Source organism: Homo sapiens, chromosome 1 (genome assembly GCF_000001405.40).
Source record: "Homo sapiens chromosome 1, GRCh38.p14 Primary Assembly".
In the NCBI taxonomy this organism is placed as follows: Eukaryota; Metazoa; Chordata; class Mammalia; order Primates; family Hominidae; genus Homo; species Homo sapiens.
Genome location: NC_000001.11, coordinates 206,085,461 through 206,104,046, shown reverse-complemented (window position 1 = coordinate 206,104,046; position 18,586 = coordinate 206,085,461). Strand labels below are relative to the sequence as shown.

Sequence of the window (18,586 nt, the reverse complement as noted above, 5' to 3'; positions counted from 1 at the left end):
CTCTCTACAAAACAATTTTTAAAATTAACTAGGCATCATGGCATGCACCTATAGTCCCAGCTACTTGAGAGGCTTTGGCAGGAGGATCACTTGAACCCAGGAATTTGAAGGTTACACTGAGTCATGATCATACTCCTGCACTCCAGTTTGAGTGACAGAGACCCTGTCTCTAAAAGTAAATAATTAGATAAATAATAAATAGAAGAAATCAATAAGAAGTAGAGTTTCACTTCTTGATGGGACAATGTTGCTGTTATTATTTTTGGTATTTATTCCTCATTCTGCCTGTCTAATCAGTAGACTCTGTTGTACCCCATTAAAAAAAGCTTTGTAAGGAGAGGAACGACAGTGGTAGCTAAAAGGTGAAGGGACAAACAAGCCAGCAACATTTTCCAACCCCAGAAACCCAAACCAGAATCATCCCCTTAGATCATCTTGGGGAAGAAGAACTCAGGAGGAGGAAAGCCTGCCTGATGCTCTCAGCACCAGGGCTGGGAGGGTCATCCACAGCCAGCAAATGGAGCACAGTTAATAAATCTCAGGTGTCTAAAACCTGAATACCACTGATCTTGGGTTTGAATTTGGCTAGGAGTAAACCTAGGGTTTCAATTTTGGGGGCATGTTTGTTTAGCTATTATGAGCAAAATTTCTTTTTACTTCATGTCAAATTAGCTGTTGGAGAAAAATATTTCTCTAGTCACTGGTTACTCATGTTATCAATTTTAAAGCATTTTAATTCTCTGGTTTTCTAGGGCTAGGATATCTGAAAAGGATGACAAATTTTTCCTCATTTCTATTTTTTTTTTTTTTTTTTTTTTGAGACAGAGTCTTGCTCTGTCACCCGGGCTGGAGTGCAGTGCCATGATCTTGGCTCACTCAGCTTCCAACTCCCGGGTTCAAGTGATTCTCCTGCCTCAGCCTCCCAAGTAGCTGGGATTACAGGTGCCAACCAGCACACCCAGCAAATTTTTGTATTTTTAGTAGAGATGGGGTTTCACCGCGTTGGCCAGTTTGGTCTTGAACTCCTAACCTCAAGTGATCCACCTGCTTCAGCCTCCCAAAGTGCTGGGACTACAGGCGTGCACCACCGTGCCTGGCTCCAATTTTTCATAGTTCTTGCTTTTGTTAACTGTTTTATCAACTGATTAGAACTTCTAGAACAATGTTAGATAACAAAGGAAATGGCAGGCTTGTGGACATTCTTACTTTGTTTCTGACTTAATAGGACTGTGTCTAGGAGCTTACAGTTAAATATCATGTAATCTCCTGATTTGAGATAAATCATTCTTAATTGAGTTAGGAAGTGTCCCTGTATTCCTAATTGTTTTTTTAAAAACACCAGGAATGAATCTTGAATTTTATTAGATTGAGCTTTGGGAGATTTTTCTTGGAATAAGAGATTATGATGCTGGTTGATATTTACCAAAATTCCATTTGTCATCTTTGGCTTATAAGAAACAGCAGATTCAAAGGTTGATTGATGGTGGGCTTTGTAAATGCACTATTTAAAGTTCTGAGGACAGAGGAGGATTACTCAGCAAAACACATCACTGAAAACAAGGAAAACTGCAGGGTTAGGCAACAGGAAAAGAGGAACTGGTGGTGGTTGCTATTTTATTTAAAACTTTTAAAGAAGTTGTTTATTGCCAATAATTAAAGAGCTCAAAGGGAAGTCATTTAACCATGAGATTGCCAAATAGAACTCTACAACAGCTGATTCAACCTTTTTAAAATTTTCCCTGGGGAGAGACTTCACTACTATCTCTGCTGATGGACTCCATAGTTCTCATACTTTACCTGAAAGTTCTTCCTAACATCTGATCTCAACCTTTCTTGCCGGGGCATTGGCCTGTTTTCCCAGCCAAGCCTTGTTTTTGTTTTTGAGGAACGAACAGCTTTTTTGGGTACAGACCAGGAGTCCATGGGTCTTGAGGACCTCTGTGTATTTATCAGTTTTCTTCTCCACATTCTTTTTGGCCTGTCTCCATAGACTTGTGAGCCCCATGCCTTGTTTAAGGGGGAAAAATGGCATTTCCCTACAAATTAAATGTAAGAATCCATAGAGAACTGGACCCCATTAAAAATATTTGGAATTCACATGGCCACTTGATCATATTCCGCTGGCTCAGACAGAGCAGGGTTGACAAAATACCAGAAACTGGGCTTGTGTCTTTCTGGATTGACATTGACATAATCTGTGATTTCCTTTATGTTCTCATAGTCCAGCGGGGAGTCATTTTTTAGTTCTCCAGGGTCAGAAAAGACGACTTGTGTGTAATCCACATCCTCTGTGGCCTTAGGAGAAAAGCAGAGACATGTGGGTCAAGATCCCTACCACGTTTGGGGGAAATAAGACCCCAGGACTGAACTCTTACTCAACAAGATTCGCCCATGGCTTGGTGGGGAAGATCTGGGTCCAAATAGCTGTGTCTGGGAGCAGTCCAGGGCAATGAGGAAGATTACCAGTGACTTTGTTCCACCTGTCTGCAGGGAATGGGATTACAGACGAGCAGGTGGAGGCAACAGGAAGATGCTGAGACTCAATTCAAGGGAGATCAGGACTCAGAGCAGACTTGAGCCCAACAACTGGGGTGTGGGGAGAAGAGGGTTTCCCATTAGCACTTTCATTTTTACAGTCTGTTCAGACCCACTTTGTTTGGGTGATCCATGCAGATATGGGTTATGGGTGGAAGCCTGACCCCCCCTCACCTGAGGATGCTGTGATGACTCAAGAAACCCTCTTTTCTTGCTCCCACTACATAGCTGGGGTAACTTGAGTTTTCAGCGTTTTACAGCAGGGATCCCCAGACTGCATATGTTCGTCTGAGATCACTAGGCACATCCATTACCTGGCAGGCAGGAGGCGAACTGCAGGAGCTATCCAAGCTATCTGAGGGTGTGTCGCTGTCATCTGGGGAGAAATAGAAACGGTTCCTCTTCCAAAGCAAGCCAGAGGGTGTTAAGAGAGGATAGAGACAATGGAAGGGAGAATTGTCTTATTATCAGATAAAGACAGAGGCAGAGCCAGCAACAAAAAGGGGGGGTAGGGAAGAGAGATACAGAGACCCCAAAAGAGGAAGAAGGAGAAACAGAATAGGGGAAGAGTAGGGGGAGAGAAAGTCTCCAAAAATAGGCAGGGACATGTCCAAGAGGCCAAGCACTGCTGCTTCATTCAACTCCATCTAAAACTAATGTTAAAAAATACACTAGGTTGACTGTGCTTGGAAAGGGCTGTCTTCCAGAAAGAAAAGTCAGGAGGAACATGCTGGGACAATGTGACCCAATGCAAACAGCTCTGGCCTCAGAAGTTACACCTTCTAGTCCAAAGCTGTCACTAAATCTAGGCAGATCACATCTCTTTTTGTGCCCTGGTTTTCGTCACCCCCAAGACAAGAGGGTTGAACAAGAGTCTCTGAGGTCCCTGACAGCTAAACAATCTCTGATTCTAGCCAGGCTCTGGTGAAGCTTTGGGGCCAGGGGTTAGGGTAAGGCCAGTGCCTCTCCAGTTCTGTTGAAACATGCATATGAGCAGCACCCTCAGGTCCCCACAGGCAGGCACTGAGGCCATGTCTCAACTGAAAAGATAAAATCAGGACAGAGCAAATTCAAACCAATCAAGAGACAAACCAGTGGAAGAAGTGCAATCTCTGGTGAGTGAGCCCCTATCAGGGAGTTGCCTTGTTGCCAAAGCAGCCACTTCCACTGTGAATAGTGACCTATTGGCTCACTTGCAGGAGGGTGATATAGATTTGAACCAGCAGCAAGATTCACATTTATACACTCAGATACCCATGCAGATCTAAGACCATGAAAAAGGGTCCCTCTAGGGACTATGGAGGAGCCAGCTACAGAGCCAGCCAATAACACTGACATAGCAGCAGCCACGGTGGAGGCAGGCAGAGGCAGGTGAAATTTTAACTCCACCATTAGCTGATCAATCCGAAGAAAAGATGCCATGGCTTTACAAAGAGAAGAGCAGGGACATTTCCCAAGCCGCCTGCAATCATTTGCACACGACTAAACCCGGGAAAGAACTTAGACCCACACAAACTCAGAATGATCTTCCCCACGAAATAGAATAAAACACCTTTCTGAAAAAAAGTAGGCTGGCAAGGCTGTCCTGATGTGGCTGTGAGGAATCCTCAGGCTAGAGGTTTGGGCCCATGGGGTTGCTGCAGGGAGGTCCTGGGTGTCCAGAGAGAGCAAAGTTAGTCCCTAGACAAGTTCTCCCTCCAACCCCTTACTCACGCCTGTAAAGGGAATCAGACATTGGGATGTCTCTCTCTGTCTGAGTCTCCTTCATCTCTTTGACAGCAGGTGGATGATGGTGGCCAGGGCTGGGCCTGGGAACCTGGAGACTGGCCGCTTTCAGTATCTGTTCACTCTTGTGGGCTGGAAGGGAGAGGGCAGGGATCAAAAGTGGAAACTGGCCAGGCGCAGTAGCTCATGCCTGTAATCCCAGCAATTTGGGAGGCTGAGGTAAATGGATCACTTGAGGTCACAAGTTCGAGACCAGCCTGGTCAACATGGTGAAACCCCATCTCTACTAAAAATACAAAAATTAGTTGGGCATGATGATGCGTGCCGGTAATGTCAGATACTAGGGAGGCTGAGGCAAGAGAACTGCTTGAACCTGGGAGGCAGAGGTTGCAGCGAGCCGAGACTGTGCCACTGCACTCAAGCCTGGGGGACAGAGTGAGACTCCATCTCAAAAAAAAAAAAAAGTGGAAGCTGCCTGGGTTAGGCACATCGGCTCTTGAATCAGCGCCTGTTGAACACTGCCCTCAGTAAAGCAAACCTTTCAGAAAGATCCCTTCAAACCTCAGCACTGCTGTGCTCAAAACCCTGCCATGGTTCCACGCCTCACTTGGAAAAAGCCAAGTCCCAGCCTCCGAGGCCTCACTCCTCCTTCCTCTCTGGCTTTCTCCTGCTTCTCTCTGCCTGCTCCAGCTGCCCAGCCTCTTTGCTCTTGCTAGCATGTGCCTAACACGTTCCTCCTTCAGGCCTTTGCAGGTAGAGTTCACGCCTCACTCCCTGCAAGTTTATACTCAAAGGTTAGCCTTTTGGGGATGCCAGCCATCCACCAAGCTGTATCAACTCCCTTGTTCCATTTTTCCTCCCTAGCACTTACCATAATCTAGCATATACATGTTTTACTTGTTTATCTTGTTTGTTGTCACATGGAATGAAAGATTCCGGGGGTAGGAATTTTTGTTTTGTTCCCTGTTGTGTAGCCTAGGCCCAGAGAGTGTCTTAGATGCTCAAGAAATATCTGCTGAATGAATGAATGAACAAATGAATGAATGAAGGTAGACTTAACTAGAAAGACCCTCAAAACATCATCTTGCCCCGTCCTTTCTCTTAGCACAACCAAAGCAGCATTGTTTTATTTTCCCTAATTGAAATGCCTTTCCAGGACCGAGCTTCACTACCTTCTATTGTTTATCAGTTCAAGAATTTAAACTAATCTCTAAGTCCAACCATATTTCCTTCTGTTGTAATTCAAGGACATTTCTTCATATTCAGTCCTTTAACAGGGATGAAGAAAATTAATTAGACCAGGTTACACGAGCACTTCCTCGTAGGCATTGCAAAAGCTGTGTCTAGGCAGAAGGTCTGGGTAGTAGACGGATGTGGATGGCCACTTCCAGCCAGAAATAGTTGGTTAAAAGGTGAGGTCAGAGTGGGGATTACCCAGATACAGTTATTGGGGGGAGGGGGAGCGGTGGGAAGGAATTTGGCCGGTGGGTCCTCTGGTAGGTTTTTGAGTGACGTTTGGGAACTCCAAAGGGGTCTTGTCCTGCTGGAGGCTCGAGAATGGTCTCTGAGAGTGACTAGGAGGGAAGAGGATGCTGAGCCAGTTACCCATGTGCCTGCTGAGCAGGTAGTTGATGGCGGTGAGGAAGCAGGCCTGCAGGAAGAGGGACACCACCGCGATCACTAAGCCATGCCAGACCTCCATGACTCTGTTGGGAAAGAAAAAGGGGCAAAGTCAGAGATTGCAAGGATGTGAATACAATTGCAAACCTATCCCTGTCCTAGCTGGAGGCAGACATCTGGCATTGCTGCGTGTCCCAGGGTAGGTCCCTTTGCCTCTCTGGACAATAAGGCTGGGGCAGCCAGGAAGGGTGCTATGTGTGCTTGGAAGACAGCTACACCAGTTAGCTTGGTGGGAACCTTGCTCCTGCTCTTGTTGGGCCCACTCACTCTGTCAGCATGATGAGCTCCTTGCTGATAAGTTGGGGCTCAGGCACTTTCAGGAACCACCCTGGCACCTCGTCTCTCAGTAGTGCCACCGGCAGGGTGCTGGAGATCTGCAAGAGGTAAGGAGCTGGTCAGGACTCCAGGGCTCTTTATACAAATTTCCCTTGGGCAAACTCAGCTACTTGAGGATCAATTGTGACACATGCCCAGTTTATTCATCATACTTGCTTCAGTCCCCACTTTCCTACATGATACATTCTAGACACTTCTCCTAAAGAACCTTGATGAGTAAAGTGCACTTAACATTTTCACTCCCAGAGATTTCTGTTTAGTTTCGTTTATAAAAGTGGATTCAGAATCCAGATATGAGTTCCTTATTTGTTATAGATTCAGCATGTGAAAGGGGTAGGTGGGGAGTGAAAAGCAGCAATGTTCTAGATTAGAGAATTCCCCTTCCTGTTTGTGCTGGAGCCCTCTCTCCATTCGTCCATGCATCCAGTGCCAAGAAGCGCCACAGGTCACCTTGTTAGCAGCAGGGCTTATGGATTCTTTCTGTAGGACAGCTGTGACTTAGTTGCTGGTAAGGAGGGCTGCAGGGAGGCAGGAGGGAGGGACCCTGGGGACTGACCCAGACAGCGAGCGAGAAAAGACTCCAGGAAATTACCTGTCTCTCACCTCCTCAGAGTCCTCAGACAAATGGATAGAAAAATCCGATATTGCCCAATGATCAGCAAACTCCACAATGAAAGCTCAGTCAAAAGTGTCTTGGGCCAGGTAGGATGGCTTGCCCCTGTAATCCCAGCACTTTTGGAGGCTGAGGTGGGCAGATCACTTGAGCCTAGGAGTTCATGACCAGCCTGGGCAATATGGCGAAACCTCGTCTTTACTAAAAATATAAAAATTATCCCGGCATGGTGGCATGTGCCTGTGGTCCCAGCTACTTAGGAGGCTGAGGTGGGAGGATCGCTTGATCCCAGGAGGTCGAGACTTCAGTGAAGTGAGATGGTGCTACTGCATTCCAGCCTGGGTTACAGAGCAAGACCCTGTCTCAAAAAAAAAAACCAAAAAAAAAAAAAACAGGGGACTTGTGCACAAAATAAAAAATAAAAAGTGTAGAGCCAACACACTGGAAAGAAAACACAAGCATGATTGCAATAAAGCAAGACAGGGATTTCTTGAAGGATTTGGTGACTTGATTGAAAAAGGGGCAGAGCTGTCTTGAAAATGTCCTGCTCTTGTCTAATTTTGGATAAGCCCCCCTAAGATAAATTTCAGTACAGATGCTGATTTCTCAAGCCTCATCTGGGGTTCCTCAAGACCCCTGCCAGGGCAGCTGCACAAGGAAGACTGGACTTTACCAGAAGAGCTTTATTGTATCGTGAAAGAAATGAAAATTGTGGAAGGGGGCTAGAAGCTAGACCAGTGTGTCTGAGAAAACAACAATGTTCCATTTTTAAAGGAATTCTGGTGCTTTAGTATCGATTGTCTAATATTGAATATCTCATTTGTCCTTAATCACAGACATGATTCTCCCCTTGAGGGGGTTGGCCAGTAGGTTGCCTGGGCTGTCTTCCAATACTACACTCAAAGCTTTTATTTTTTAAGGCTCCTCTTCTACTTTATTTATTTAAAATTACACAACTAGTAGACATTTGTAGTCAAAGAATTAAAAATATGAATGAGCAACACGTTTTAGAAAATCGCCCCAAATTGAGCCGGACACAGTGGCTCATACCTATAACCCCAGCGCTTTGGGAGGCCGATGCAGGTGGATTGTTTGAGTCTAAGAGGTCAAGACCAGCCCGGGTAACATAGCAAGACCCCATCTCTAAAAACATACAAAAAAATTAGCTAGGTGTGCCTGGCACGTGCCTATAGTCTCAGCTACTCAGGAGGCTGAGGTGGGAGGATCACCCGAGTCCAGGTTGAGGCTGCAGTGAGCCATGATCATGCCACTGCACTCCAGTCTGGGTGACAGAGTGAGATCCTGTATCAAAAAAAAAAAATTACCCCAAATCTTTTTTTTTGAGATGGAGTTTTGCCTTGTTGCCCAGGCTGGAGTACAATGACACGATCTCGGCTCACTGCGACCTCCACCTCCCAGGTTCAAGCGATTCTCCTGCCTGAGCCTCCCAAGTAGCTGGGATTTCAGGTATGCACCACCATGCCCTGCTAATTTTGTATTTTCAGTAGAGACGGGGTTTCTCCATGTTGGTCAGGCTGGTCTCGAACTCCCAACCTCAGGTGATCCGCCTGCCTTGGCCTCCCAAAGTGCTGGGATTACAGGCGTGAGCCACCGCGCCCAGCCAAAATTACCCCAAATCTTATTCCATATCCTTCCAGAAAATTTTCTAAATATTTTCATGGATATAAGTGCATGTATATATGCAAATAATGTGTGTACACAGAGACAATGTCTTTAAAACATGGAATCATACAGATTGTTAGCTATTTTTTTACTCTTAATATATCGTAAACATGTTTTTTTGGTCAGGAAAAACCTCCCCTAAAAGGCTCCAACCAGGCGATCCACAGGCCACATTTGACACCTAATTTTTGTCTGATGAAGTGCTTTAGTGATTTGAATTTGTATGCCCCTAAACTGGGACATGATTTGTTCACTTCCTGACTAATCCCTAAAGGCATTTGAGTTTGCCACCTTTGAGTTTTACGGTATCATTTCGAATTCCTACCATTGCCCTTGATCAGTGTTTCTCGGTAGTATCTGACATTTGGAGCCAGACAAGTCCTTATTGTCTAAAACTGTCTTGCAGACGGCAGGTTGTGGAGCCTCCTGAAAGCCCCCCAGTGTAACAGGCCAGTGTAATGGCCAAAGGGACCCCAAATGACCCCACACATTTCCAAAGCCCCCTGAGGTAGGAGGGTTTGCTCTCAGTTGAGAATCACTGAATTTGATATATGTTCCATTATTTTAAGATTAATGCCTTATTTTGGCCCTTTATACAAAACTAGATTGCCTACACCATCTTCCACATTTTAATATATTCTGAGCATATACTCAGAGCGTACACTTTGGGATAGCGAGGTGGAAGGATCACCGAGGCCGGGAGTTTGAGAAGAGCCCGGTGACAGAGTAAGACCCTGTCTCCCTTACTAGCCAAATGACACACAGCAGCTCATCCAAATGAAAACAGTAAATAATACGGACGTCCAACATTCTTAAATACTAATTTCAGTTCAGTTCCCTTCTAGATGTTAATTATTGAATTCAGTGTCTCAGTTTAATAATTTCAGTATCTATAAAGTGAGAAGAATAATAGTTTCCTACTTCACAGAGTTCTTGCATGAGCTCAGTGATTTATGCTGTTTGTAAAGACCTTTATACAATTCCAGGCATATACGAGGCACTCAGTAATTATTAGGTATTATTCAACCCTAAAATCCTCCACCACGATGGTGACTAGAACTATTAAAAATTGGATTGGTCTATTTTAGAAAACTTAGGCATTTGTTTTGAGTACAGTTTGGAGATAAGATCCAAGGTATGAAAATTATGACAGATGTCATTATTTAAGTGGCTAATGGCCCCTAACCACAATGAGCAGGTTGTTCCTTGGGGTCTAATTGCAGACTGCTGATCAGACAATCAGCAGAGACATCTGCTCATTTGCGCGTGCACGTGACACACACACACACACACACACACACACACCAAATAACCAGGAAATGGGCAATTTAAGGTAATTATGTTGTGAAAAAGCGCATGGACTGTGTGAGGGTTTGGTGTGCCTCGTTCCATCCTCGAGGTAGGGACGGTTCTGTCCTCTTCCACTGTGCTGAATTTTGACATCCAGCCCCCACACTAATGTAGTGCCCTGCCAGGCACCTCAAAACCAAACTTTAGGCTGGGCACGGTGGCTCATGCTTGTAATCTCAGCACTTTGGGAGAGCGAGGTGGAAGAATCACTTGAGACCAGGAGTTTGAGAAGAGCCTGGGTGACAGAGTAAAACCCTGTCCCTCCTCCCCCGACCAAAAAAAACCCTACTTCGTCCCAGTGCTAAGAGCATTTATTTTGTTTGCTTCAGACTTGAGTTAAGGCTGGATTCCATTTTATTAAGTTTCCCTCCTCCACTGATACAGGAGCTTTCTCATGGCCTTTCCAATAGGTACAGCGTAATATCAGGGGGAGAATAAAAAGATGCCCACTTTCCTGCCATACACCATGCTTTCTTTGGATAGGTTTATTCTAGAAAGAACGGTTTAAAACAAGATCACAATAGAAGATGATTTCTATGAAAAATCATATGGATTAGGCTAGGCGCAGTAGCCCACACCTGTAATCCCAGCACTTTGGGAGGCCGAGGTGGGTGGATCATGAGGTCGGGAGTTCAAGACCAGCCTGGCCAAGATGGTGAAACCCCGTCTCTACTAAAAATACAAAAATTAGCCGGGCATGGTGGCAGGCACCTGTAATCCTAGCTACTCGAGAGGTTGAGGCAGAGAATTGCTTGAACCCAGGAAGCGGAGGTTGCAGTGAGCTGAGATCACGCCACTGTACTCCAGCCTGTGTGACAGAGCAAGACTCTGTCTGAAAAGGAAAAAAAAAAAAAGAAAAATCATATGGATCAAAGTAATTATAATCAACATTGTCAACTGACTTTATTAATCTTTTCAAATGAAGTAGCTGTAAACTTTCTTTGCTGTCTCCATTAATTTGTTGTTTTTAACATTAGCTAAGGTATAATGGAAAGAGAACAAAAAGAAGGGAGAACAAAAGAAGGGGAAAGAAGGGAGCTAGGGCCTGCCTTCTCCTGGCTCTGTCACTTGCTAACGGTGTGACTTTGGACAGGGAGATGTCCCCTCTAGGCCCTGGTGAATTAGGGAGCTTGGCAAAGTACTCCTAAGGCTCTTTTCAGCCCTGAGCATCCTGCTCTTTAAAGGCTGGGGTGAAGTAAGGCGAAAAGAAAGCAAAGCTGGATGGAAATGGAAAATTTAAAAATAAAAAAATCTTTATTTCCATTTTGTAACATTCAGCCTCCTCCACATTGCTAGACTTTCTCTCCCAGTTTAATATGCAGTTTCCAATAATCAAGAAAAGGAGGAAACACAAATAAACCAAATTAATAATATAGGGACTATTAATCTCAGAAACAGAAGGGATTAACATTTTTCAACAAAAATGGGGTACCAAAAAAAAGAAGAGGTTTTAAAAAAAGTTAGACTACAAAATTTTTTTTGATGAAATCTCAGTAAAATGGATAGTTTCCTAGAAAAGTATAAATTAACAAAATTGATTCCATATGGCACGGAAAGCTTAGACCAAAACCAAACCAAAATAACAAGAAATAAGTTTAGGAAGGAGCATGGTATCTAGCCACTAAAGACAAAGAACCTGGAGTCAGACTGCTTGGGTTCAAATCCCAGCTCATTCTCTGCATGAGCTTGGCCTGGCTATTTAACCTCTCAAAGCCTCAGTCTTTTAATATGTAAGATGGGAACAGTAACTAATTTCGGGACTAGATAAGACAAATATAAATGATAACTACTTCTGAGGATGAAATTAGATGAGCTATGTGAAATAGTTATTAGAACTTTTGGCACATAGTACTAAGCATCCAATGAATGCAAGCTATTATTATTTAGAAATTAAAAGCATTGGCTGAGCCCAGTGGCTCACACTTGTAATCCTAGCACTTTGGGAGGCTGAGGCAGTTGAATAGCTTGAGCCCAGGAGTTGGAGATCAGCCTGGGCAACAAGGCAAGACCCCATCTCTATTAAAAAGAAAAGAAAGAAAAGAAAGAAAGAAAGAGAGAGAAAGAGAGAGAGAGAAAGAGAGAAAGAAAGAGAAATAAATAAATAAATAAATTAGAAGCATTATCAGACTTACCTCCTCAATACCTGTCCAAATGGTTTGACAAATGAGGAGTTTCAAACTTTTAAGGAACACATAATTATTATTCTACAAGCCAATACAGGGCACAGGAAGACAGAAACTCTTGGGTTCATCTCATTTATGAATATGGAGGTATATATATATGGTAATATCAAGAAGTTAGCCCAGGATGTTGAGGAAATTGATTATTACAAAGATGGAAACAAACATTGGGTATTTTCCATGTGCTTTAATCCTCTCACTCTACAAAAATAGACATTACCACTACTTCATAGATGAGGAAACTAAGGCTTAGGAAGATTGAAAAATTTGCCACGTTGCCAGCTGGAAGACTCATGTTTCCTAAACCAACTGACTCAAAATCCTAAATCCCAATCATGTCAGGAAGCTGTCTTTTATATAATACAAATACAATATTGATAGGGCAAATTTTTAAAATTATGATCTTGGTAAAGTGCCAAAATGTACTGGATAAACTGAATACTTATTACTGATTTTTGAAGTTAATAAAAGTATGAGGATTTTTTCTTACTATAATAAAGAATAGTAAGTCAGTGCAGTATTGATTACTGCACCAATAATCAGTATCTGACAAAATGGTAAATTATTTTGCAGCTATTTGAGAGCAAGGGTGTATGCTGCAACCCTTATCCGAAATGAGTACTAGAAGTTATAATTTCTGGAAATGGAAAGTTCCTCCCATCTCTAATAATAATAAGGGTATTGAATATTTACTGAGCATGTTTTATGTGGCAGAAATTTTTATATACATTAACTCATCCAATTCTCACAACCACCCCAGGAGGTAGATACTATTATTATTTTTTAATTAACAGAGGACAAAACTAAGACACAGAAAGGCTACCTAATATGCTCAAGATGACAAAAACAGTTCATCAGCCTTTGTGCTCAGGCAGGCTGGTGCTGGAGCCTGAGCTGTCAGCTGCTACATTAACAAAATGAAAGTACAGTTTTGGGCAAGGAGAAGTCAAATTCATTCTTACTTGCAAAATATATGATTTTACACCTAGAAATCCAAAAGAATGCATTGCAAAACTAGAGGAATTAATGAGATTGCTCAGTAAAGTCCTGTAGATATAATAAATATTCTAAAATTACCAGCTATTCTTACTATTATATTAGCAACAGACATAAAATAAAATGGGGAAAAATACCATGAGATTTAGCAACTACAACAATAGAAATATCTAAATATAATATTAATTATAAGAAAATTATTTTGAAGAAAATAATAAAAATTTATTGAGAGACATGAAAGACAAACTCATAAAAAGATGCTATTTCAGGTTGAGAAGCTGTAACACTTAAAAATCACTTTTAAAGTTAATTTATTGGCCTAATATAATTCTAATAAAAATTATGGTGAGTTTTTTATAACTTGAGGTTACTCTAAAATGTATCTGGGAAAACACAAGAACAATCAAAAAGAGTGGAAATTGCAATTTGAAGAGGAATTGTGGGCCAGGCGCGGTGGCTCACACCTGTAATCCCAGCACTTTGGGAGGCCAAGGAGGGTGGATCACCTGAGGTCAAGAGTTCGAGACCAGCCTGGCCAAGATGGTGAAACCTGTCTCTATTAAAACAATACAAAAATTAGCTGGGTGAGGTGGTGGGCACCTGTAATCCCAACAACTCTGGAGGCTGAGGCAGGAGAATCGCTTGAACCTAGGAGACGAGATTGCAGTGAGCCGAGATTGTGCCACAGCACTCCAGACTGGGGGATAGAGTGAGACTCTGTCTCAAAAAAAAAAAAAAAAAAAAAAGAAAGAAAAGAAAAGGAATTGTGGTAAGGTAGATTTCTGACTACCACTTTTTAAGAGAAGTGTAGACTTGAAAAAATATGCCTGTGTGTACAATAAATGTTATAAGAGTAGTTCACAAAGCAAGTGGAGGAAAGGAAATCATTATTTAACAAATGTTGCCCACAAGACAATGGGTTAGCTACCTGTAAGGGAAAAGAAAATAAATTAGATCCAGACCCTAGATAGCAAAATGAATTCCAAACGGATTAAGGAGGTAAATATTTTAAAATCGAGCCATTAAAATTAGAAGAAATTAGGATTGAATATTACTATATTTAATAATATTTGTTAAATCCCCAGATGAGAGAAAACTTTCTCAGTTTATATGCAATGGAAGAAATCACAAAGAAATACATGAAAAATAGATTTGGCTTTAAACTATTAGAACTTCACATGTTAACAAAATTTAAAGGCAAACAGAAAAAAAAAAACTGAAACTAGTATGGCAAACCACTATTTTAAAGATTTTGCATCTTTGGTTTATATAAATTTTTAAGAAAAACACTAGGGCCCCCAAACAGCAAATGGGTAAAGAGTGTAGAGCACACAATTTACAAACAATCCAGAACAGACCAAAGCTATTATGCAAAAGAGCTCTGTACAGCGTCATTATAAAAGTGAAAAATGGGAAGCAATCTAAAGAAAAAAACAAAAACTGAAGAAATGAGGATTGAGGCTTTGAATGGAAGACCATATGGCCGTTTAAAATTACATTTAGGAAGAACTCATCTGGAGAAAGAAATCTGTTCTACGAAAATATACAATGCAATTGTATTTAGCTACATAAAATATAATCACAATTTTGTAAAAAGTGAACATAAGGCTGGGCGTGGTGGCTCATACCTGTAATCCCAGCACTTTGGGAGGCAAAGGTGGGAGGATCGCTTGAGCCCAGGAGTTTGAGACCAGCCTGGGCAACATAGTGAGATCCCCCTCTCTACAAAAAATGTTTTAACCCATTTTCTATTTAGAAAAAAAAAAAGTACAACTAATTCTCTTTGAGGCTGAAGCAAATCTGACTCATTTTCAATATGAAAATAAAATATAAAAACCATTCTTGGGAGTTATTTCTAAATAGAACTTGTCTCTAATCATCATGTAGCAGAAATGTATATGATGTTACATGAGGGTAAGAGACAAAAGTATTCTTGAGGGAAACAGGAGATGGGTTAAAAAATTAGCTGGGCCTGGTGGAGTGCACCTGTACTCCCAGATACTTGGGAGGCTGAAGCAGGAGGATCACTTGAGCCTGGGAGATCAAGGCTACATGAGCCGTGGTTGCACCACTGCACTCCAGCCTGGGCGACAACGTGAGACCCTGTCTCAAAAAAAAAAGTGAACATAAAAAGAATGAAAATTTATAAAGAGAGAAAACTCTGGGTCATTAAACTTCTTTCTCATCATAGTAGTTCAGTAATAACACACCCAATTCATGTGTCAGCTCCCCAAATCCAGAATATTTCTTTCATTTGTTTGTTTTTTGAGACGGAGTCTCGCTCTGTCCCCAGGCTGGAGTGCAGTGGCGCAATCTTGGCTCACTGCAACCTCCGCCTCCCAGGTTCAAGCAATTCTACTGCCTCAGCCTCCCGAGTAGCTGGGATTACAGGTGTGCAGCACCGTGCCTGGCTAATTTTTGTAGTTTTAGTAGAGACAGCATTTCACCATGTTGGCCAGGCTGGTCTCGAACTCCTGGCCTCAAGTGATCCACCCACCTCAATCTCCCAAAGTGCTGGGATTACAGGTGTGAGCCACTGCACGTGGTCCAGAATATTTCATTAACAATAATTTTGTTTATCAAATATAGATTTATTCATAAATATGAATCTATAGAAAATAAGTTTAGGATGTTATTTAAATGCACTTTATTCATATGGAGGGAATGAAAGAAGATACATGTAAGTGTTAACAAAACCAGGTATTGGGATTGAGGATGTTTTATTTCATTTGTTATACTTTCTGTCATTTTCAAAGTTTTCTGCAATTAACATGCATTTTTTCCAATTAAGAAAAATATTTATTTTTTATTGTTTAATTAGTTAATAAAAAATAAATTAAAAATTTTTCCTAATTGGCTGGAGTGCAGTGGTAGGATCAAAGCTCACTGCACCCTTGAACTCCTGGCTCAAGTGATCTTCCTCAGCCTCTCAAAGTGCTAGGATTATAGGCATGAGCCGCTGCACCCGGCCTATTTTTTTAATTGGTGAAAATTATCCATATTTATTGTGTACAACATGTTTCGAAATAAGTATACATTGTGGAATGGCTAAATCAAATGAATTGACAGCTACATAACCTCACATATTTATCATTTTTTGTAGTGAGAACATTTGAAATCTACTCTCAGCAGTTTTCAAGAATACAATACGTTGTTATTAACTATAGCCAAAAAAGTTTTCAGACATTGAAATAAGCCTAGATTTTCTGAGTGCCTTAAATCAGCATGACACCAAATTTATCTAAATAAATTATATCTCACCATGTTAATAGAACATTGAGATGATCACCTAAATGTCTGAATTTCAATCAATCAAATATTTATCGAGTGGTCCATGCACATGGTCCTGTGTGAAATACTCTTGATGGTGTGAAGGAGAAAATGCCATTTGTACTTTCAAGAGTTCATTTGCACTTGGAAAATCAAGGCATTAATATGTGAAAAGTCAAAAAGCAGAAGAGATGCCGCAGGTGAAGAATAATGAATTGTCAGAAGGAGTGGTATCAATAATACATTATATTTCAGAGGAAAAAGAGATCCCCAAGAGACAGAATGTTCAGGGAAGAGTCACTGAGAGGGAATTATTTGAAGGACAGGCAACAGATGGATGGAAGGAGGGGAGAAGAGCAATCTAGCTAAAGTTGTCTTGCCAACCCTGGCTTTGGGGACAGCTTTAGTGGAATTGATTGTCTTCTAACAAAGTTGGATTTATATTTGACCACATGTAAATAGCATAATGTGGAAACAGCTGAGTATACTGCAAAGCGACCACACAAGCGAGTATAGGCAAATGGTCAGGTGTAGAGACTCAGTGGCCAAATAGATTGTGTTTAGGACATCAGCTATGGCCTTCCTAGCTGTGAGTTGCTTTACTTTTCCAGCTTCAGGGTTATATCTGTAAAATGGGGATGACATCTGTTTTGTGGGTTTTTCTTTTCTTTAGACAGGGTCTTGCTCTGTTGCCCAGGCTGGAGTGTCCAGTGGTGCAAGCACGGCTCACTGCAGCCTCGACCTCCTGGGCTCAAGCAATCCTCCCACCTCAGCCTCCCGAGTAGTTGGGACCACAGGTGCATACCACCATGCCTGGCTAATTTTTTAATTTTTGAGAGACAGGATCTTGCCATGTTGCCCAGGCTGTTCTCAAACTCCTGGGCTCAAGCAATCCTCCTGTCTCAGCCTCCCAAAGTGCTGGGATTACAGGTGTGAGCCACCGTGCCCAGCCTGTTTCATGTTTTTAACTCACACGTCTTGTGTTTACCATGTATGTGCTATATCATAAAAAACATTTTGCATCAATTATCTTATTTAATCCTCAGAATAACAACCTTATGAGGTAGATACTATTGTTCTCCCAATTTTACATATGAGAAAACCAGGTTGTAATCCCCCGTGGAGGGGACATAATTCAGACACAGATGGTTTGAGGCCAGAGCCTTCACCACATTGCATTCAGTATTGAAAATGCTGGCCGGGCGTGGTGGCTCACACCTGTAATCACAGCAATTAGAAAGGCAGGGGTGGGAGGTTGGCTTGAGCTCAGGAGCTTGAGACAAGCCTGGACAACATAGTGAGACCCCATTCTTCAGAAAAAGAAAAAAAAACAGGAAAATGCTCAGTAGAGGGCCTGGCATATATAGGTACCAGAGGATGATCCTTGGACCAGAACATTCAACTCAAAATTGTCTTAAATGTATAAACACACCCATTTCCATAAGGCCTTGTAAGAACACTGGGCCCACTCATGATTTTCAGGTGGGAGCAACACAGTGTACGAAACCATGGGGTCCTGCGATGTCCCTGGTCCTAAACAATGCCTGTTCCTATGACTGTCAATGAGTCACTCACCAGGGAATAGAGAAGGTCAAAACGCCAGGCTGAGGAAAGGGAGGGATGGAGTGTGCCAAATATCATGGGGAAAAGGACAACAGAGGGTTACAGGATCACCTTCATTCTCATATCAGAGAAATCTTTCCTGGATTCTCTTTGGCTCTGGTCACCATGTCAGGGTCCTCACCCCAGGTGGTTATGAGGCTAGGGCTCATCTGGAATATGGCATGAGAACCTAGATGAACATTCCAGTTCAACAACTTTATACATTCCTTGGGCACATTATTTCCTCTCCCTGAGCCTCAGTTCCCCTGTCTATAAAATGAGAGGAGTGGGCTAAATCAATTCAGTTCTGACATTTTGTTATTTTAGAATTTTTCTGAAATGGACTAAAAAGTGAGATTCAAAAGTGAGAAAGAGCAACTTTGAGCCTCAACTAGATAAACCACACCTCCAGTCACATTTATTTCTAGGTGCAAGCACTGCCAATTTCTAGCAGGAAAGCAAGTCATCCAGAGTTTCTAATTAGTAATTTTGGGGAAAGCAGTTTTGCAAGGAACTACTAGAGATGAATGCAATGTGGATGCAACTTAGTTCCAAGACTAAATCAGCAAGAACACAAAAAGTTGCAAGCTACTCAAGCAGTATTCATGGATTCATT

At 42.1% G+C, this 18,586-nt stretch overlaps 1 protein-coding gene across 2 annotated transcripts in view; it reads right to left on the bottom strand.

Moving 5' to 3' along the window:
* Positions 1–1,597: 1,597 nt before the first annotated feature.
* RHEX (regulator of hemoglobinization and erythroid cell expansion) overlaps positions 1,598–18,586 on the bottom strand; it is a 49,277-nt gene continuing 32,288 nt past the window's right edge. For both annotated transcript variants that reach the window (NM_001007544.4, NM_001369490.1), the window contains exons 2-6: positions 6,208–6,314; positions 5,866–5,966; positions 4,249–4,392; positions 2,850–2,911; positions 1,598–2,295 (exon numbers count right to left, since the gene is read on the bottom strand). In NM_001007544.4, the coding sequence (NP_001007545.1) occupies positions 2,095–2,295; positions 2,850–2,911; positions 4,249–4,392; positions 5,866–5,966; positions 6,208–6,218 (519 nt within the window). In that variant the 5' untranslated portion in view covers positions 6,219–6,314 and the 3' untranslated portion in view covers positions 1,598–2,094. The remainder of the gene's footprint in view (positions 2,296–2,849; positions 2,912–4,248; positions 4,393–5,865; positions 5,967–6,207; positions 6,315–18,586) is intronic.